The 22555-nt window shown below is 40.3% G+C and overlaps 4 annotated features.

The window, feature by feature from the left end:
* Window positions 1667-2326: an enhancer, noted in NCBI's record as "OCT4-NANOG-H3K27ac hESC enhancer chr2:210163633-210164292 (GRCh37/hg19 assembly coordinates)". NCBI's record gives its function as "activates a minimal SCP1, AML or CMV promoter by ChIP-STARR-seq in naive and primed H9 embryonic stem cells {active_cell/tissue: H9 hESC(naive and primed)}" and the evidence as "EXISTENCE:reporter gene assay evidence [ECO:0000049][PMID:30033119]".
* Window positions 2327-2986: an enhancer, noted in NCBI's record as "OCT4-NANOG-H3K27ac-H3K4me1 hESC enhancer chr2:210164293-210164952 (GRCh37/hg19 assembly coordinates)". NCBI's record gives its function as "activates a minimal SCP1, AML or CMV promoter by ChIP-STARR-seq in naive and primed H9 embryonic stem cells {active_cell/tissue: H9 hESC(naive and primed)}" and the evidence as "EXISTENCE:reporter gene assay evidence [ECO:0000049][PMID:30033119]".
* Window positions 6988-7987: an enhancer, noted in NCBI's record as "OCT4-NANOG hESC enhancer chr2:210168954-210169953 (GRCh37/hg19 assembly coordinates)". NCBI's record gives its function as "activates a minimal SCP1, AML or CMV promoter by ChIP-STARR-seq in naive and primed H9 embryonic stem cells {active_cell/tissue: H9 hESC(naive and primed)}" and the evidence as "EXISTENCE:reporter gene assay evidence [ECO:0000049][PMID:30033119]".
* Window positions 7988-8986: an enhancer, noted in NCBI's record as "NANOG-H3K27ac-H3K4me1 hESC enhancer chr2:210169954-210170952 (GRCh37/hg19 assembly coordinates)". NCBI's record gives its function as "activates a minimal SCP1, AML or CMV promoter by ChIP-STARR-seq in naive H9 embryonic stem cells {active_cell/tissue: H9 hESC(naive)}" and the evidence as "EXISTENCE:reporter gene assay evidence [ECO:0000049][PMID:30033119]".

The following is a 22555-nucleotide window of genomic DNA, read 5'->3' on the forward strand; positions in this document are numbered from 1 at the left end:
GGACAGAAGTCATATCATCTAGGACAAGAATACAATGAATATAAATTCTACAAAACTAAAGTTGAGGTTCTTAATAACAGGATAGCACATGCTGATGAAGGAATGGCAGAGGAATCCCCATCAAACTAATATGACTTTGAAAAATACTTTTTATCTGATGTCAACTTTCAATGTGTCTTTATTGCAAAACAAGCAAACAAGCAAAACAACAACAACAACAAAAACCCTGTAGTGGTCAGGGACAATGGCTCACACCTGTAATCCCAGCACTTTGGGAGGCTGAAGCAGGTGGATCACCCGAGGTCAGGAGTTCGAGATCAGCCTGGCCCACATGGTGAAACTCCGTCTCTACTAGAAAAATACAAAAAAAAAAAAAAAAAAAAAGAAAGAAAGAAAAAAATTCCAGGTGTGGTGGCACATGCCTGTAGTCTCAGCTATTTGGGAGACTGAGGCAGGAGAATCACTTGAACCTGGGAGGTGGAGGTTGCAGTGAGCCAAGATGGTGCCACTGCACCCCAGCCTGGGCAACAGAGTGAGACTCTGTCTCAAAAACAAACAAACAAACAAAAACCTGTAGTGCTTGTGCACTATGGGCAGAATTTCACTTGGTTTAATATCTTGTAATACTCTGTTCAAACAATCCAGTAACCACATCTTTGACAAAAATGAAAAAAAAAAAATACTCCTGGCTTTCATGTAATCTTTCTTTTGTAATTAAGAGAGACTTCAGTGAGTTTGAAATTTAGTTCTTTTACTTTTCTTTCCTTCTCATCTAGAATGGAAGGATAATGAATGGATCTCAGTAAAAACACTTCATGTATGTCAAATTATTACATTAAGCTTGTAAAAGGTAACACAATGACAACTCTAGAACGATACGTTTCCTGCTCAATAAATAAATATGGGCTTTGGTGTTTTCACTGCTTTGTATCTTATGTTTCTATTTTTCTTATTTAGTATGTTCTTTGGAACTATGATCTCACTGGAAGCTCAGGGGTTCTAGAAAATATTCCTGACAAAAGATAAGAATTTATTTTCTGAACTCCAAGCTTTGACCATGACTCAGAATTCCTGGTTCAGATCTATTGACTATGCTGAACAAAACATTATATAGAGTAGTCTCTAGACTACCTCATTCAAGTAATTCCTACCCTCAGCTTGGTTTAAAAAACACCTAGCAGTTTTTTAAAGAGAAAGGAAAACAGGAGGACGAAATGCCTGGCGTTCTGTGGACAAGGAACTTATAGATGTGGCACCAATGATCTTTTCCCCTATTTTCACCCCCCAGAAAAGGGCATTATATAGCTTTGGGCAGGTTAATTAACATCAAATTTTGGGCAGGTTAATTAACATCAAATCCTGTGTACTGCTTTAGCTGTAAGAATGAACATGGCTGCAGATATTTGTGATTTTTCTGATACTTCTTGGATTCTGACAGGCTGTTTTAGGGGACCACATATGGGCCTTACTTAGCCTTACTATACTGTGCATAAGAAGGTTTTACACCACAGTAGCTCCTACTCCTGGAGAGTGTTCGGTCCTCACTCCATTACTTGACATGGCTCCCACTGCAGTCATGCCTACCAGAAGCAGGCTTTCTGAATGCTCCTACGCCCTGAGGTTGCTACAGCAAAAGTAGGTGCTTGCCTTTTAAACCTCCTTTATTCTTAACAACCAGGCAGAGAAGAACTAATGACTCAACCACTTTCTGTAACATGGGAAATCATATTATCCTTCTAGTGTGGCCTCCCTATTTAAAAAATTCCACACTCAATGCCTAACCTTGGATATATTCAATACTGGGTTTTAACTTCTTTTCCAAGGGCATGTGATCATAGAAATATTCTGCTAAGAATTCTCCACAACTTTAGGGTGCCACTGTTTCCCTTTTCTTCATACTACTAAGAGGAGATAAGCACAGGAAGAATTTTATGATATGTTCTGTAAAGTACATCTTCAGAACTAAAGCGTTTAGAAGTATACCGAACTCAGGGCTAACTAGATTTCCTACATTATGCAAAATATTCTCTGAAAATGTTTGCTAGTTTCTTTTTTAAGGGAGGAGGATATTGTCAGTCCTCTGAGCCCAAGCCAAGCCATCGCATCCCCTGTGACCTGCACATATACGCCCAGATGGCCTGAAGTAACTAAAGAATCACAAAAGAAGTGAATATGCCCTGCCCCACCTTAACTGATGACATTCCACCACAAAAGAAGTGTAAATGGCCAGTCCTTGCCTTAACTGATGACATTACCTTGTGAAAGTCCTTTTCCTGGCTCATCCTGGCTCAAAAAGCTCCCCCACTGAGCACCTTGCGACCCCCACTCCTGCCCACTGAGCAACTTGCAACCCCCACTCCTACCCGCCAGAGAACAAACCCCCTTTGACTGTAATTTTCCTTTACCTACCCAAATCCTATAAAACAGCCCCACCCTTATCTCCCTTCACTGACTCTTTTCGGACTCAGCCCACCTGCACGCAGGTGATTAAAAGCTTTATTGCTCACACAAAGCCTGTTTGGTGGTCTCTTCACACGGACGCGCATAAAATTTGGTGCCGTGACTCGGATCGGGGGACCTCCCTTGGGAGATCAATCCCCTGTCCTCCTGCTCTTTGCTCCGTGAGAAAGATCCACCTACGACCTCAGGTCCTCGGACCGATCAGCTCAAGAAACATCTCACCAATTTCAAATCCGGTAAGTGGCCTCTTTTTACTCTCTTCTCCAACCTCCCTCACTATCCCTCAACCTCTTTCTCCTTTCAGTCTTGGTGCCACACTTCAGTCTCTCCCTTCTCTTAATTTCAATTCCTTTCATTTTCTGGTAGAGACAAAAGGGACATGTTTTATCCATGAACCCAAAACTCCGGCACCGGTCACGGACTGGGAAGGCAGCCTTCCCTTGGTGTTTAATCATTGCAGGGACGCCTCTCTGATTATACACTCACGTTTCAAGGGTGTCAGACCATGCAGGGATGCCTGCCTTGGTCCTTCACCCTTAGCGGCAAGTCCCGCTTTCCTGGGACAGGGGCAAGTACCCCTCAACCCCTTCTCCTTCACCCTTAGTGGCAAGTCCCGCTTTCCTAGGGGGCAAGAACCCCCCAATCGCTTATTTCCGCACCCCAACCTCTTATCTCTGTGCCACAATCCCTTATTTCCATGTCCCAACCCTTTCTCTGCTTTTCTGGAGGGGAAGAAACCCCCACCCCTTCTCCGTGTCTCTACTCTTTTCTCTGGGCTTGCCTCCTTCACTATGGGCAGGCTTCCACCTTCCATTCCTCTTTCTTCTCCCTTAGCCTGTATTCTTAAGAACTTAAAACCTCTTCAATTCTCACCTGACCTAAAATCTAAGCATCTTATTTTCTTCTGCAATGCCACTTGACCCCAATACAAACTCAACAGTAGTTCCAAATAGCCAGAAAACGGCACTTTCAATTTTTCCATCCTACAAGATCTAAATAATTCTTGTCGTAAAATGGGCAAATGGTCTGAGGTGCCTGACGTCCAGGCATTCTTTTACACATCAGTCCCTTCCTAGTCTCTGTGCCCAGTGCAACTCGTCCCAAATCTTCCTTCTTTCCCTCCCGCCTGTCCCTTCAGTACCAACCCCAAGTGTCATTGAGTCTTTCTAATCTTCCTTTTCTACAGACCCATCTGACCTCTCCCCTCCTCAACAGGCCGAGCTAGGTCCCAATTCTTCCTCAGCCTCCGCTCCTCCACCCTATAATCTTTTAATCGCCTCCCCTCCTCACACCTGCTCCGGCTTACAGTTTCGTTCCGTGACTAGGCCTCCCCCTCCTGACCAGCAATTTACTCTTAAAAAGGTGGCTGGAGCTAAAGGCATAGTCAAGGTTAATGCTCCTTTTTCTTTATCCCAAATCAGATGGCGTTTAGGGTCTTTTTCATCAAATATAAAAATCCAGCCCAGTTCATGACTTGTTTGGCAGCAACCCTGAGACACTTTACAGCCCTAGACCCTAAAAGGTCAAAAGGCCGTCTTATTCTCAATATACATTTTATTACCCAATCTGCTCCCGACATTAAATAAAACTCCAAAAACTGAAATCTGGCCCTCAAACCCCACAACAGGACTTAATTAACCTCACCTTCAAGGTGTGCAATAACAGAAAAAAGTTGCAATTCCTTGCCTCCACTGTGAGACAAACCCCAGCTACATCTCCAGCACACAAGACTTCCAAATGCCTGAACCGCAGCAGCCAAGTGTTCCTCCAGAACCTCCTCCCCCAGGAACTTGCTACACATGCCGGAAATCTGGCCACTGGGCCAAGGAATGCCCGCAGCCCGGGATTCCTCCTAAGCCGCGTCCCATCTGTGTGGGACCCCACTGAAAATCGGACTATTCAACTCACCTGGCAGCCACTCCCAGAGCTGCTGGAACTCTGGCCCAAGGCTCTCTGACTGACTCCTTCTTGGCTTACCGGCTGAAGACTGACACTGCCCGATCACCTCGGAAGCGCCCTAGACCATCATGGACGGCAAGCTTTGGGTAACTCTCACAGTGGAAGGTAAGCCTGTCCCCTTCTTAATCAATACGGAGGCTACTCATTTCACATTACCTTCTTTTCAAGGGCCTGTTTCCCTTGCCTCCATAACTGTTGTGGGTATTGACGGCCAGGCTTCTAAACCTCTTAAAACTCCCCAACTCTGGTGCCAACTTAGACAATACTCTTTAAAGCGCTCCTTTTTAGTTATCCCCACCTGCCCAGTTCCCTTATTAGGCTGAGACACTTTAACTAAATTATCTGCTTCCCTGACTATTCCTGGATTATAGCTACATCTCATTGCTGCCTTCCTTCCCAATCCAAAGCCTCCTTTGTGTCCTCCTCTTGTATCCCCCCAACCTTAACCCACAAGTATAAGATACCTCTACTCCCTCCTTGGCGACCAATCATGCACCCCTTCCCATCTCATTAAAACCTAATCACCCTTACCCCACTCAACAATATCCCATCCCACAGCACACTTTAAAAAGATTAAAGCCTGTTATCACTCGCCTGCTACAGCATGGCCTTTTAAAGCCTATAAACTCTCCTTACAATTCCCCCGTTTTACCTGTCCTAAAACCAGACAAGCCTTACAAGTTAGTTCAGGATCTGCGCCTTAGCAACCAAATTGTTTTGCTATGGTGCCAAACCCATATACTCTCCTATCCTCAATACCTCCCTCCACAATCCATTATTCTGTTCTGGATCTCAAACATGCTTTCTTTACTATTCCTTTGCACCCTTAATCCCAGCCTCTCTTTGCTTTCTCTTGGACTGACCCTGACACCCATCAAGCTCAGCAAATTACCTAGGCTGTACTGCCACAAAGCTCACAGACAGCCCCCGTTACTTCAATCAAGCCCAAATTTCTTCCTCAATTGTTACCTATCTCGGCATAATTCTCAAAACACACGTGCTTTCCCTGCTGATCGTGTCCGATTAATCTCCCAAACCTCAATCCCTTACAAAACAACAACTCCTTTCCTTCCTAGGCATGGTTAGTGTGGTCAGAATTCTTACACAAGAGCCAGGACCGCACCCTGTAGCCTTTCTGTCCAAACAACTTGACCTTACTGTTTTAGCCTAGCCCTCATGTCTGCAAGCAGCGGCTGCCGCTGCTTTAATACTTTTAGAGGCCCTCAAAATTGCAAACTATGCTCAACTCACTCTCTACATTTCTCATAACTTCCAAAATCTATTTTCTTCCTCATACCTGACGCATATACTTTCTGCTCCTGGCTCCTTCAGCTGTACTCACTCTTTGTTAAGTCCCACAATTACCATCGTTCCTGGCCCGGACTTCAAGCTGGCCTCCCACATTATTCCTGATACCACACCTGACCCCCACGACTGTATCTCTCTGATCCACCTGACATTCACCCCATTTCCCCATATTTCCTTCTTTCCTGTTCCTCACCCTGATCACGCTTGATTTATTGATGGCAGTTCCACCAGGCCTAATCGCCACATACCAGCAAAGGCAGGCTATGCTATAGTACAAGCCACTAGCCCGCCTCCCAGAACCTCTCATTTCCTTTCCATCGTGGAAATCTATCCTCAAGGAAATAACTTCTCAGTGTTCCATCTGCTATTCTACTACTCCTCAAGGATTATTCAGGCCCCCTCCCTTCCCTACACATCAAGCTCGAAGATTTGCCCCTACCCAGGACTGGCAAATTAGCTTTACTCAACATGCCCGGGTCAGGAAACTAAAATACCTCTTAGGCTAAATAGACACTTTCACTGAATAAGTAAAGGCCTTTCCTACAGGGTCTGAGAAGGCCTCCGCAGTCATTTCTTCCATTCTGTCAGACATAATTCCTCAGTTTAGCCTTCCCACCTCAATACAGTCTGATAACAGATAAGCCTTTATTAGTCAAATCAGCCAAGCAGTTTTTCAGGCTCTTAGTATTCAGTGAAACCTTTATATCCCTTACGGTCCTCCATCTTCAAGAAAGGTAGAATGGACTGAAGGTCTTTTAAAAACTCACCTCACCAAGCTCAGCCACCAAAAAGGACTGGACAATACTTTTATCACTTTCCCTTCTCAGAATTCAGGCCTGTCCTTGGAATGCTACAAGGTACAGCCCATTTAAGCTCCTGTATAGATGCTCCTTTTTATTAGGCCCCAGTCTCATTCCAGACACCAGACCAACTTAGACTGTGCCCCCAAAAAAAACTTGTCATCCCTACTATTTTCTGTCTAGTCATACTCCTATTCTCTGTTCTCAACTACTCATACATGCCCTGCTCTTGTTTACACTGCCAGTTTACACTGTTTATCCAAGCCATCACAGCTGATATCTCCTCGTGCTATCCCCAAACTGCCACTCTTAACTCTTGAAGTAACTAAATAATCTTTGGTGGCAGGACTATGCTGAATCTCCTTAGGCACTCTCTAATCAGATGTCCTAGGTCCTCCCAATTCTTAGACTTTTTATACCTGTTTTTCTCCTTATTCCATTTAGTTTTTCAGTTCATACAAAACCGTATCCAGGCCATCACCAATCATTCTATACAACAAATGTTTCTTCTAACAACCCCACAATATCACCCCTTACCACAAGATCTGCCTTCAGCTTAATCTGTCCCACTCTAGGTTCCCACACCACCCCTAATCCCGCTTGAAGCAGCCCTGAGAAACATCGTCCACTCTCTCTCCATACCACCCCCCAAAAATTTTCGCCGCCCCAACACTTCAACACTATTTTGTTTTATTTTTCTTAATAAGAAGGCAGGAATGTCAGGCCTCTGAGTCCAAGCCAAGCCGTCGCATCCCCTGTGACCTGCACGTATACGCCCAGATGGCCTGAAGTAACTAAAGAATCACAAAAGAAGTGAATATGCCCTGCCCCACCTTAACTGATGACATTCCACCACAAAAGAAGTGTAAATGGCCGGTCCTTGCCTTAACTGATGACATTACCTTGTGAAAGTCCTTTTCCTGGCTCATCCTGGCTCAAAAAGCTCCCCCACTGAGCACCTTGCGACCCCCACTCCTGCCCACCAGAGAACAAACCCCCTTTGACTGTAATTTTCCTTTACCTACCCAAATCCTATAAAACGGCCCCACCCTTATCTCCCTTTGCTGACTCTTTTCGGACTCAGCCCGCCTGCACCAGGTGATTAAAAGCTTTATTGCTCACACAAAGCCTGTTTGGTGGTCTCTTCACACGGACGCGCATGAAAGATATGTCAATCATGTGTTTTTAAAAAATGACTATTTCATAAAATGATGAATAGCTAATATGTACCATGAAGTATATATAATTCTTGGGTAATTTTCAAGAACTGGTTCTCATCTTCAGAGCCAATACTTTCCTTTTAATTATTCATCTGAATTAAATATATTTAAATTTAAATCTTTAGCTTGAAGGGGAAAAAGAATCCTGTGTACTGCTCTAGCTGTGACCAAGCCAATTATGCTAACATCAGCATCCAACGATCACAGCAGGAAACATACTGTCTTCTTTACATGCATGGGCTGACTGAATTCTTACAAAATCTCCATGAGGTAGGCATCACTATACATTCACATTCCATAGGTGAGAACAATTTGATGTTAATTAACCTCCTCAAAGCTATATAATTCTCTAAGAACTGAATCAGAATTCAAATAAAATCTTTCTGACTCCAAAATGAATGTAAAACATACGTAATGTAGCCCCTTCTAAAGGATATTTCTCAGAGCTTCAAGGCTGTTCTTACAGATCAGACACCTTTGTAGAATATTCTAAGACCCACATCTAAACATATTTCTGTGAAGTATCTAAGGAAATACCTAAAATTCATCTTTCAAATGGTAGTATCTGGTTTAAGGATTGCTCCTTATTTCACATAACCCTTAGTGGGTGTAATAGTTCATTCTTATGCTGCTGTAAAGAACCACCTGAGACTGTGAAATTTATGAAGAAAAGAGGTTTAGTTGACTCACAGTTCTGCAGGCTTAACAGGAAGCACGACGGGAAGCCTTCAGGAAACTTAAATCATGGTGTCAAGGAATCTTTGGGGTGTTGCTTTTCCAGCTGGAAATTCTGTGGCCAGTGGCACCTTTGCCTAAGTATTGCTCAGGCCTGCTGGGCTCATTCCACCCACTCGGCCTGGCAGGCTGTGCTCAGCTGTGCCACTGGCCTGGATCCCACACCTGCCAAGGGAGAGTCAGGCATAGAGCAGTGAGGAGTGTGTGAGCAAGCGTGGGATCTGGCCACTGCCCACAGCCAGGCATGCCAGCTGCGGAGAGGTGGGGAGCTCCAGGCACCAGCACGGGTGCCGGCTCTTTGTGAGGCTGTGGCTGGACCAGGCATACCACAAGTAGATTTCACTGTGAGCACCATGGAACTCGGGGCACCTGGACCCTTGGAGACACCAGGAACCGCAGACCCCCAAAGAGGGTGTCACTGCCCTGGCTCAGAGGGCCCCTAGGTCTGGGCTCCTGAAAGAACTGCAGCTCTTCTCTCTTTCCCATTGAGAGACAGGACTAGCTGGATTTCCTAGGCCGACTAAGAATCCCTAAGCCTAGCTGGGAAGGTGACGGCATCCACCTTTAAACACAGGGCTTGCAACTTAGCTCACACCCAACCAATCGGAGAGCTCACTAAAATGCTAATTAGGCAAAAACAGGAGGTAAAGAAATAGCCAATCATCTATTGCCTGAGAGCACAGCGGGAAGGACAAGGATCGGGATATAAACCCAGGCATTCAAGCCAGCAACGGCAACCCCCTTTGGGTCCCCTCCCCTTGTATGGGAGCTCTGTTTTCACTCTATTTCACTCTATTAAATCTTGCAACTGCACTCTTCTGGTCCGTGTTTGTTACGGCTCAAACTGAGCTTTCTCTTGCCATCCACCACTGCTGGTTTGTTGCGGTCGGAGACCGGCCGCTGACTTCCATCCCTCCGGATCCAGCAGGGTGTCCGCTGTGCTCCTGATCCAGCGAGGCGCCCATTGCCGCTCCTGATCGGGCTAAAGGCTTGCCATTGTTCCTGCATGGCTAAGTGCCTGGGTTCGTTCTAATCGAGCTGAACACTAGTCACTGGGTTCCACGGTTGTCTTCCATGACCCACGACTTCTAATAGAGCTATAACACTCACCGCATGGCCTAAGATTCCATTCCTTGGAATCCGTGAGGCCAATGAACCCCAGGTCAGAAAACACGAGGCTTGCCACCATCTTGGAAGTGGCCTACCACCATCTTGGGAGCTCTGGGAGCAAGGACCCCCGGTAACATCATTACCTGCAACATGGCAAGTAGGGCGGCATGTTTTAGTACTGTTTGTGTTACAGCTCTTTTAGTCCCACCATTCAGTGGGTCCTGAGTTCTTGTCCCGCATCCAGAAAAAAAATTAGGTATGTGGACAACTGGAGGGTGAGCAAGGTGAAGTGGAGCTTCACTGAGCTGCAGAACAGTTCTCAGGAAACCTACAGTTCCACATGCAGGTCATCCTGACAAGTGTCCAGTTTCTCTGCATAGAGGAGACTGCAGTGGGTAGCTCCTTCCCACAGCTGGTAGTCCCAAGTCTGTCCAAGTCTGGCTGAGTCTGGGGTTTTCATGGGTTCCAAAGGGAGGAAGTGCATGCTGATTGGTCCATAGATAGCCTTGGGAGGGCCTGGAGAAAGCACCATAAGTTCTCACTCCAGGCCAGGGACTCCACCCAGAACTGGAGGCTGGCCCCCAGGCTTGGAAGTGGGGTTTCATCAGGGACTCACCCCTTCCCACCCAGAAGCCTGCCTGCCACCATCAACACGCCATCCACGGCACCCAGGCTGCTCGTGCTAAAGGGTGCCTGTAAGGCTACGCCAAGCCACCCTCAACCCCCTTAGGCCTCCCTCCCATGCTCGTTGGTGCCCAAAGTCCAGAGGGGACCAAGGTGACAGGGGACTGCTGTGTTGGCATTGCCCCGAGCATGCACACACCTGGCCGGGTTGCAACAGTGCCTGGGCTCAGCTTCAACTTTGCTCCCAAATCAGAGTGGGCACCAGGAATGGGGAGAGGCCAGGCAGCAGGAGCAGGCATTTCTGAGCCTGCAGAGGAAGGAGGACTTCCCAGGCCCCTGAGAGCACAGGGCTGCCCTGGTTCTGCAGCCCCAGCTGCACAGCTGCAGCTGCACCCTGGGAGTGCAGAAGGGGGCAGGGCTCCCGCCAGTTCCCAGCTCCTGCTGGCTCTGCAGAGTGTGCAGTCCCGGCCTTGCCTCGCCCACTGCAGCTGATGTCCCTCACCCACTGCTGTCAATGGCAGAAGGTGAAGAGGAAACAAGGGTGGAGCAAGAGGGTGGGGGATGTGCCACACACTTTCAAATTATCAGATCACATGAGAACTCACTATCATAAGAACAGCAAGGGGGAAATCCACCCCCATGATCCAGTCACGTCCCACCAGGCCCCTCCCCTGACATGTGGGGATTACCATTAGAGATGATATTTGGGTGGGGACACAGAGCCAAATTGTATCAGCGGGAATATATTGAACCTTACCTGTTAATTTGCTCTGTCTTCTCACACACCTCTTTTTCTTTCATCTTGTCTCAGGAAAATAAATATTCTTTCTTCTTGCTTAGGAGTATTGCCATCCCTTTCTATTCCCTCCAAGGGCTCCAATAGTGCTCCTGAATACTCATGACTGGGCCCTTGCTTCTAAGTCTCTCTTTACCCGGAGCTACTTGGTCTTCCCCTGCTTCTTACATTCTATCTATTTGAGCAACAGGTCTCAAAGCTAAATAATTATATAAAACACTGCTCTAGCATTTTGCTCTCTCAAATAACCACCATCTCTCTTGCATCTTGAGTGTCTCCCTTGCTCCCTACTACAAACATAGTGAGCTACCTTGCTTTAAACTATTAGATAAGGCTATTAGATAAGATGACTGGGCATTTTTGCCTTTAACCTGAAACCATGAGACTTCCCCTTATCAAGCCTCAGTCCTTCAACCAGTCAGGATGTAGGTTGCTGTAGTGTTTCTAGAAGCTGTGAAGAACTGTTTTTTACACTACAAACCATTTGGTGATGAACAAGTTTTGGTTAGCCCCCTTATTTGATAATATGCTTCTCACAGTTATGTGACAATGTCTAAGATTTCACTAACAATATAGTGCAAATGAACTACCTTGCTCTAAGTGTGTGCTGGTGAATAAAATCATTGGTGAATAAGATCACATATGAGTTATATGATAATGCCTAAGATTTCACTAACATAGATTCCTTACTATGTATGGCTTTTCTCAAGCTCACTAATCCAAGGGCTAATAATTCTTCCTTGTAATTCATCCTTAAAGAGCTAAAGTTACGATTTTCTAGCATGTCTTTCATGTAAATACCCAGGGAATCATGTGAAATACATTTTATAATTCCCATTATTCCCATTTTTCAAGTGAGAAATCTAAAAGCCAGTAGGTTCTAGCAATTTTCTTAAGGCCACATATTTTGTACAAGCATTCAACATTACAGAAGTATCTGTGTCCATAATCTTTCTGGAACACCATGCTTAAATGTTTTTTGCAAATAAGAAAATTAAAATGGTTTCTGCAAAAGGTTAGTTGTTTGCTCCTATTAGCTGTTTGTTATTTAAACAGGTATATCACTCAGGACTCTTTCGGTTACAAGTAACAGTAAATACAAATTAGCTTAAGCAAGAGCATTGACTAATCTGGCTGAAAGTTCTAGTGTCAGTTTCTAGAGAAATTTGATATCATTGTTAAGTATCTCACTGCCAGATAGGATCCATTGTGTCCATGATTTTGCCACTGAAGATCATTGATCTTATTTTGCATAATTCCAGGAATGAAAGAAAGAATCCTTTCCATAAAGCTCAAAAATTCCCATAATGCAGTTTTGGGAGCTCTTTCTAGACCTGAAGGATGAGAAACTGGTCATGTTACCTCCTAGGAGAAAGTTCCAGGAAAAGGAAATAGTATGTGGGAAAACCCTAAGGTCAAAAAGAGCTCGGGTTCTTCACAGAACTGAGAGAAGCCCATCACAAGAGGAAGATAACTAGGAGAGTAGTGGCTAAAGATGAAGGTGGATTAGTTAAAAAAAAAATACATATGGCATATATATATATATATATATATGAGCCCACATACATATATATGGGCCGTTTGAACCACATAAGACATGATGAAACCTTGTTCGTTCATTTAAGGTTAATGTCTAGCTGGCAGGAGATCTTAAACAAGGATATGATTTGTTCTCATTCAGACTTTGAGAAGATTAATTACTGTGAATCTTGGAAATGTGGGCAAGTTTGAGAGGATCAGCTAATAGGGAATTTCAGCTAGCCATGAGAAAAAAGATCACAGCTTAGATTAAAGTGGCAAGAGAGGGTTGGAAGAAGTAGAGAGAAATAAGAAAATTAGGAGGCAGATGATTAGGGCTTAGTAATTACTTGTGTGTGGTGGACCTTTGTCTAGGGAGAGAATGTAAAACAGACTAATAGTTTGAAACAAAAGTACAGATATTTATTGATTGCCTGGGAGACTTTACATCTTTCAATACCTCTAAGCAGAGCTTGACTTCCTCAATGCCACGGTCCAGACAACTTTATCTATAATCTCCTGGTTGCTTCATACTTTTATACTACATGCCTAGGACCTGAAAGTTGTTGAGTTTGGGTTTCCTGGTATAGAAAGAAAAAAAAAAAAGAAGGGCCTACTACTTAGTCCTTACAATAATCAAAATTTGTCAATTACAAGAGAAGTTACCAACAAAGACTCAGAAGTAGCTGTCAAGGGGATGGAAGGAGAATCAAGAAAGGCTTGTTGTATTTCATTGAACCAAGTGAAGATAGTGTTTTAAGAAGGAAGAGATTCTCAACTGTGCAGCAGTTTTGCTCAGAAAGCAGTCAAGATGAGAGATCAAACATAAAATGGAAGATGTTCAAAATGTCTGATGATATGGTAACACAGAAGATAAAAACAAAGGTTATTAAAACATATCAATATAAATATTTGACTTATAAAATGAAAGTTGCTGCTTGTAATGGGCTGAACCGTGTCACTCTAAAAAATTCCGATGTTGAACTCCTAACTTACAATATCTCAGAATGTGACTGTATTTGGAGATAATGATCTTTAAATGGACAATTAAGTTAAAACACTCTCATTAGGCTAATCCAATTTGACTGGTGTCCTTACAGAAAGAGAAAATTAGGGCACAAACACACATAGAAGAAAGACCATGTGAAGACAGGAAGATGGCCACCTACAGCCAGGAAAAGAGGCTTCAGAAAATGTCAACTCTGCTGGCATCTTGATCTCAGACTTATAACCTCCGTGAGAAAATAAATTTATGTTGTTTAAGCCACCCAGTCTATGGTACTTTGTTACGGCAGCATTGGCAAACTAATTCACTGGTGATTTTAACAAAAGGAACGTCGGTAAAGTGATGGAAGCAGAAAACAGATTTGAGTGAGAAGAAGAACTGATAGGAATCAGAAAATAAGGAAAGCAAGTACCTAGATCTTTCTAGTCATATTTATCCTATGAATAACCCAAATAATAGTCTATTTCTTGGTTTTAACTTTAAGAAGCTTATATGTAGCATTGAATTATCTCTTACACATTCAAAAACCCGATCTAAAATTTGAAAACTAAATATGCTATGTACAGATTCCTATGAAAGATAAAAAGTATTTAATTTTGATTTTGGAAAATATTTTATATGCATGGATATTTGAATGTGTGCATCTTTACTAGCAAATATTTAATATTTCCTTAAGATACTCTAATTTGAGATAAGTGACATTCAGATTGGGGCTAGGATGAAGTTCTTTTCATTTCCTACAAGGAATATTATAGTAGATTATAACTAAATTTAGACATTATATTTTCTAAATCAAACGTAGGCATACGTTTTTTATCACCTTGCCTGATAACAGGACATACAGTGGAAATTAGAATGATTCCCAAACATCTGTGCCATGTGGTTACTGCTGTTACTTAGGGAGTTATGAAGATCTATGAATAGGAGAAGGCAAGAAGGAAGTAAAACATCTTATCCAATGTAAGGGCTATTATAATCAAGGGATAATTCTTTTATAAATAGAATATGACACTATCACACAAAGTCAAGACCAAGATGTCAGACAAATGTAAGGACACAGGCAAGTTCAGCCCACACCAGGGAAGCAACAGGAATGATATGTGTACTAGGCTTATGCATATGACTTCCCAGCCAACCAGAAGGGGATTCAGTAAGCTGACAGCCAATTGTATAGTTTAAGTTAAAATTTCTGTTTCAAGCCTTGTAGAAATGAATGTGGTTTGAATCACACAAACATTTTTTAAGACTTGGGACACGCATCTCAAGATCTGGCATATGTGCAAGTAGTCCATGTGTTTCAATTCCAGAGAAGATAGCTAGTCCCTTCCTGGGCTTTAGCCAGTTTCCTGGAAGCGTGAAAGAGCTGGTTGATGGTGAGGGCCACAAGACTAACACAGCTTCCTAAAGGTCTCAGCAGTGACAGGAGAGGGCTGGGATGTTGAGACTAGGTAAGCAAAGAGTAATGTGTGAGTCCAAAGTTAGCATTCCCCAGAAGCCAACTCCCATACACTTCATAAATGCAGGAGAATGACAGAAGAATTTGGAAGAATCATAATTAGGAGTCTAAATTCCCTGTAAATTTAAAACTTATCCTCAAAATTTTATGGCAAATAGGAAAATGGAAGAGTAATTGTAAAAGGTAATTAATTGGAGTACATATTTCTTCTAGAGCTATGACTTACTGTTAGCAAGACTTTCATGTCAGTTTCATAAAAGTGATCATGACAGGTGGCTAGCTCCATCAGTGAGTTCATAAAGATTTAACCAAGTTTTAAACAAAAATAGAGTAAACCAATTTATTTTAAGAAGTGATTTTATTTCTGGCCAGGTGTGGTGGCTCACGCCTGTAATCCCAGCCCTCTGGGAGACTGAGGCAGGTGGATCACCTGAGGTCAGGAGTTTGAGACCAGCCTGGCCAACATGGTGAAACACTGTCTCTACTAAAAACACAAAAATTAGCAGGGTGTGGTGGCTGGTACCTGTAATCCTAGCTACTTGGGAGGCTGAGGCAAGAGAATCACTTGAACCTGGGGGGCAGAGGTTGCAGTGAGCCAAGATCATGCCAGTTCACTCCAGCCTGGGCAACAGAGCAAGACTCCATCAAAAAAAAAAAAAAAGAAAAGAAAAGAAAAGAAAGAAAGAAAGAAAAAAGAGTGATTTTATTTCTAGTAGGCTATTTCTAATAGGCTAGTATTTTGTAAGCTTTAAGCAGACACCAGCTCAATATAATATTGAAAAAAAAAAACCCCACATATAACCTTGGTCCTTTCAGTAAGCTGAGCACCCAAAATGGCATCTTATAGTTTCTCATAAATTGCAGTTCAACAATGTTGAATATGATAAAGTGGTTATCAAAAGTTAGAGCCATTTTTTAAAAAGTTCCCAGATACCTGGGTAGCTAAGGTTATTTAATAAATTGTTATGATGTAATGCTACTAAATCTCCTAAGATTAAATTTAAGGTTTTTTTAATGAGTGCTCAGGTTTAAAATAACTTTGTATTTTTCTCTGATGTTAAATTTTTGATTTGTGCCTTTAGAATCTGTAACTGTCACTCCTTTTCATATGATAAAATTATTTGATAGAACAAGAAAATAAATCCCAAAATTATAAAATCAGCACCACTATTTCTTTGAAATTTTAGCTGCTAAAGGATTCATGTCATTCTCAAACACAATGATAAAGAAATCAGCAATTTTCAAAAATCATGTGACTTAAATCCTTTTTGTTACACTCATTTCTCTCATTTAAGTTTCTGAGAGAACTATTGATTTGTTCTTTTTCTCTGAAAAGATTAAACACCTGGATTTTATCATGTACTCACATTTGAAATTCAAATCATTTGTATATAATGCATTAAATTATTTGAAAAGTCAAATATCACAGATTAGTGTGAGATGATAGCATACTCTGTATGCTATGATATAAAGTGGTTCAGAAGCATGTAATAAGTTCCTGAAATGTCTGTTCCCACTGTATGTAAAATGGCTCACTTTTCAGCAAGATCGGTGATTCCTTATATAAATCTGTTAGCAGCTTTTTGATTATAAGAGGATGGACAGTTCTTTCTCATGAGTTAGTTTGCAAATATTAGTTTTCCTTTTAAAAAGTCCGAACAGAGAACCAATAAGCTTCTTTAACTTTTACAACTGCCTAATACAATTTAAATTACATTTATTAACTTAGTTCTGCAGGTTTGGAAAGTATTTGCACTTGGCATATCCTATCACTCCATCTCCTGTCAGCTAATGTCCTCAGTAGTCTATTTCCAGTTACATGTGTGGAGATACAAGATTGGTGCAATATATTTTTACCCTTTTTAATTCTTGTAGTTGCATGCTGAAATTATTTAATGTGGGATTAGTTGAATGGTGTCTGTCATAGAAAGGGATTGTTGTAGAAAATTTGTTGTCTTTTACCACCTTTAGTTCACTGCTTTTTAATGGCATATAACACTCAAATTTTCCTTAGAAAGGAGTAATAAATAATTTCTGTCAGTCAAAATAATTTAAACTGCTGAGAGGAGTAGAAGGTAACAAGATTTTGGCAAAGCATAAAAACCATGAAGAATCAAGCGAAAAGAAGAAATTCCCAAGATATGTAGTTTAAAATGTCTATAAAGAGATAGGTAAGTGAGGAAATGGTACTACTGCTTATTGTGGATTTGGAAATTATTTTAAAGACAACATAATTTTCATGCATTCAAAGATAGTATTTTGATTGCATTACATAGCTCAGTTCATGGGGAAAATCTCGTACCTGTAATGTTTTCAAGGTAATTCGAAAAATTGTTAAGTATATGTGAGAAATTTGTGTGCTCAAATAACAAAGGCATATTTTTATTTTTATGTCAACTTAATATCAAACTAGGAGTAAATATATTTAGCAATACATATGCTTGACAAAAGATTTTTAACTAAGATGTTTATTTTCTCAATATTAAGTGTAAAAGAAGGGATAAACTAGATTCCTGTTTTTCAATCTCTGTGATTGTCTTTTAACTCTACAGATGTATTTGGAGCATCAGAAAAGTTCACAACATTACATTAGAATGAGTCATACTCTCTGTTCTCAAAGAGTTCACCATCTAATGGAAAGACAGTTACCAAACAATAAAATAGCTAACAATAAGGGAAGCAGAGCAGCAAAGTTTTATGTCTATGTAGGGCTGTCAGAGAAGGATTCACAAAAAAATAGTTACGCTACTTCTTGTGAGAAAAGAAGACTTACATTATCAAGGTATTGAGGTATAGCTCGGAGTATGTGTTCCTGCAAAGGGAACAAACTGTAAAATGAATTAAGTATAAGAGAATGAAGCATTCACATGTTGTTTCAATGTTTTCTGTTTAGAATAACCCAATTTACCATGGTTTTTTATCTCTTGTTTTCATCTAGTCCAACTTAGTTGCTTTATTACTCCAATAAATTAACACTGGATTATTATAGGACAATAAATGAATTAATGGCAGTCAGATTGGTTTGAAGAGACTGAGGACAGTGAGGAATCCTAAAGACCAGAAATAATAAAATTTCAATGTGATGAGAGGCTTATAATTAAGAATCTGTATGTGTCTTCAAAAATAATTAGGTCTCAAATTGTGGCATCTAAAAAGTTACCTTGCAAACACTACTTCAACATTGTGATCTCGCTATTATTATATCTTAGAATTTGATTTTGTGAAACACTACTTCAACATTGTGGTCTTGCTCTTATTATATCTTAGAATTTGATTTCGTGTCTATGTGCTGAAACCACTTCATGGTACTAAGTTAGGTATGTGCTAATAGTTCTTGAGATCATGAGGATACTATTTCTCAGCAGATAATGCACTGAAGTGTTCATTTTCAAAATAAATATACTTAAGGTGCAATAGTGCACATTATGAGTTTCAGATTGTTATATTACCATTAAAATAAATTCTAAGAATATACCTGCTTGGAAAATTCTAATTAGTGTGATTACTATGGAACTGGAAATAATTATTTTAAAACTCGTAAGAGCGTATTTTGAAAAATAATCAGCAGTAGAATAAGAAACTGCCAGATGAGTCACTAGTCTAAAAAGGTAAAATATTTTTCCTTTGAATTCTGCTAAATATATTACTTCTCAGATTCAAGGATAGTGCATTGAAAATTACTTTGTAGAATTTTTCTACGAAAAATATGATATGGGAAAGTCCTGTTCAGCAGGAGAAAAAAACAAGAAAAAGAAATTAGGAAATACGGACACATGAACCAAAGGAATTGATTTGAAATTTACTTATAATTCACATTAGCCCTAAGCTTCAGTCTGGGAGTTATGACTAATAATAAAAAATAAAGAAATAATTATTTTGTGATCCATTATTTTAAAACCAGTAAATACTAACAAATTATTTATATACTTGCATATATTAGTCAACTGTTCTCACAATAATATGCATATCAAACAACTCTAAAACTCAGTAGTGTCCAATAGGAAGCAATTACTTATTATTCATCTGACTCAAGATCTGCTGAGGCTCAGCTGACTTCAGATAAGCTCAAGAAGGCTCGTATTTAAACTGTGGAATATGTTTGGTTTGCTCCATGGGCCTCTCATTCGTCTGAGATCCATAGGCTACCCAGAATATGTTCTTTTCTTGGCAGTGACATTAATAGAAGAGAGAAAACCAAGCCATATGACTAACTACTCTTCAACACTCTGCTTGTTTCAGACCCACTAACAGCCCATGGGCCAAAACAAGTCTTGTGGCCACACTCTGCAATAATTGAATGGAAAAGGGTATTCTGTTCACCATGAAGCTATCGCAAGGGTGGGGATGCAAAATCTGGCTACTAAGAAATAACAAATGAAGACTGATAAGTAAATCTGCCACAACTTTAATATTTGTTTATAAAAAGAAAAGTTTGCATGTATTTTTCTGAAAATTTGGATTTTAAAAAGTGTTTCTAAGAATTAATACATGTGGATAGTAGTAAGTACCCAAAACTAAGAACAGAAATGCTTAGAGATAAATAAATGCTTACATATGCATGCATACATGTATACAGGCCAGTCAGAAGGAAGAAGAGAAAAAATAAGCAAACTCATTGAGGAAGTACAGGAAAGAAAGCACAGAGGAGAAATTGGGAAAACCTGTGCTGAGAGATGTCTCTGGTCCTGCCAGTTTCCAGGTACAGCTCCATTATCCATGCACCATTACTGGTTTTGATATACAAGTCCTGCAATTTTAACACCTACGAAAGAAACTTACATTTTTATCTTCATGCATACAATACACAATGTGCATAAGTGAAGCATTTTATCTCAAATGTAAATGTATACAGAATGCTGTGTTCCTCAGATCTATCCTTATGTTTCAGTGTTATCTATTAAGAGGAAAAAAGAAACAAGAGTTAAAATTGAAATAACTTAAATCTTTCAACTTCCCTCTGACTTTAAGGAGAAAAGAATTTCTTCATTGCCATTTCTATTCCCACCTTCCAATTATTCAAACCAAGTTGCATTCAGAGAATAGCACTGATTGCTGTTTAGCATTCTATTTAGTAATGGGTATGTTATTCTCTGGATTATCTGTTTGCTATTATCTAGTTCTAGATATAGAGAAGGAAATAGAGCAAAAATCTGGACCCTTTGTATCACAGATCTATGAGTTTGAAAAGAGACTCTGGATTGTCCAGTTCACAATGGATCCGGCAAGCCTGCGCAGACTGATAGTGGATGAGTTTAACATTGTTTTCTTTTGTGCCACAAGACACACTACACACTGGTGGTTAAGAACACACACTTTGAAGCCTCACTAGGTTCAAATTGCAGTGTCTTGCTTACTGGCCTTAGCAAGAAATTTTGCAAAAGGGGATGACTTCTAAAACAGGGTATATTCCGCCTATCCTTTAAATGATTATGTCTGTAAAATACTTAGAACACTTTTCTATTATTTCTATAATTTTGGAAAACATTCTTTCAGAGTCTCCAGAACATCACACTTTAATCCCCTCCATCCCACAGATTGTGAGTTCTTTGGGTAATGATTCCTTTCCCTCCCTCCCTGTGGTCACAGGGAAAGAGTTGGTTGAACTATGATCTTAGGGAGGAATAAGGAGAAGCTAGGAGGAGATACTAAAGTTGTTGCAATTTTAAAGTAACTTAAGTATCAGTGAATGTCTTTATCTCCAAGTCAGTATTGCCCTGAAAAGTCACACTCGCAACATGGAAGATGACACTGGGCAACTTGTCTCTTGAGATTCCATGGCAGTTTCTAAGTATTCCTTGCTGTTACTGTAGGACTTTAAGGGCACAGTCACACAGGGAATGTGTTCTGGATAGTTTTATCAACTTTAGAACTGATGAAGAGTTAATTTGAGGGTGAATCCTGATTGACTTAACCACTCATTGTTTTGCATAAATACTATCACTTGTGAGGTAGACTGAAACACTTGACATATTTAATGCAAACAAATTCTGAAACTGATTGTTCTTTGTTTTTCTATGTTCCTTAAGCAAACCAGCCTAGTGACTCTATTTCAACAGTTGCTACTTCTTTTGAAAAAGTATCTACTTTCCAATTATCCGCTAATATGTAACTATCTTTCAGAGATAGTGACCATGTGACATTTCAAATCACAATGCCTAATGCAGATAATTCCAGTAACTTTCAAAGTTTTTTTCTATGGATAAAAATAAAAGAATAAGAATAGAAAAAATATATACACATACATGTATACCTCGTCTTGCTAACTAGTTTATTTAGTTGATGAGAGACATAGTATCAGATGATATTATTACCTATAATTTAATGAAGAAGTAGTTTCATTTTATGCTATAACTTCCTTCAGATAGGAGATTATTACAATGCTGTTTTCTGAAGAAAAGGAAATTTTTCAACATAGAAAGCCTGGACCAAAGTATTACAATGTACCATGCCACTCCTGTATAATGATCCATTGACTATCATCCGTTCTGTCACATGGAACTATAAAGACTTTACAGTTCTATAGGCAAGAGCATAAATCTCACCTTTCTTAAATGTCCTTGTCTAGAATTAGACTTTTTCTAAAATACCTAGCTTTTATCCTACAGTATTTGCTTCATATTTACCAAAGAAGAAATATGAAAACTAAAAGCAAAAAGCAAAACACTCAAAGAGAAAAATGAATTTTAAAATATATTCACTGAGTACATGTAGAATATTGATAATATCTTCATTTCACAGCACAAATGAACAAGTGTTGTCTTTAAATGAATGGCATTGGTCCAAAAATCTGAATATCTATTGTCTTTTCTAATCTTTGCAAAAATCCAAACAAAACACATTTATCACTGACTCTGTAATAGCAGTTTAAAGATGAAAATAAGCATATGAATGATACACAGAAGTTCAGATGAGACTTATTGTAGTAGCATTTCCTATAAATCAGGGATTATGCACTGTTTTTACTTTATCCTCAGAATAATTACAGTTGCTCAAGTACTATTAAAGATATACAATGGGATTTCAGAAACCACAAAGAACACAAGTGCAGATTATTTTTAAAGACAAAGTTAATTTATCTATTGTTTTTAAGGATAGAACATTACAGTACACATTAGAAAACACCTTCCCAAATTGTCTTGCCAAATATATGAGAAAAACTTTTGCAATAGTTCAATATTTTATCTCAATGTGATATTGCCCTGTTCTCAATGATGGCTTCAGAAAATAAAAAATACCAGCTGGTAAGTATTTATGTCCTTTGTACAGCCTCTCTTGGTTATCTCACTCCTATTTATTCAATAATAAAATCGAAGTTAAATGGACAAGATTCGTATTCCCACTTTTCTATTCCTATAGCAACTCTATGAGAGACACTTAGGAAAATTTGCTTTCAACAAAGCTCTGTGTGTGTGTGTGTGTGTGTGTGTGTGTGTGTGTGTGTGTGAGAGAGAGAGAGAGAGAGAGAGACAGAGACAGAGAATGAGAGAGAGAAGGCCAAGAGACAGGAGAGACAGAGATAAAGACAAGAAAATAGCTTGTAAGCAACTCAAATGTAGTAAGGGT

Source organism: Homo sapiens, chromosome 2, assembly GCF_000001405.40.
Source record: "Homo sapiens chromosome 2, GRCh38.p14 Primary Assembly".
In the NCBI taxonomy this organism is placed as follows: Eukaryota; Metazoa; Chordata; class Mammalia; order Primates; family Hominidae; genus Homo; species Homo sapiens.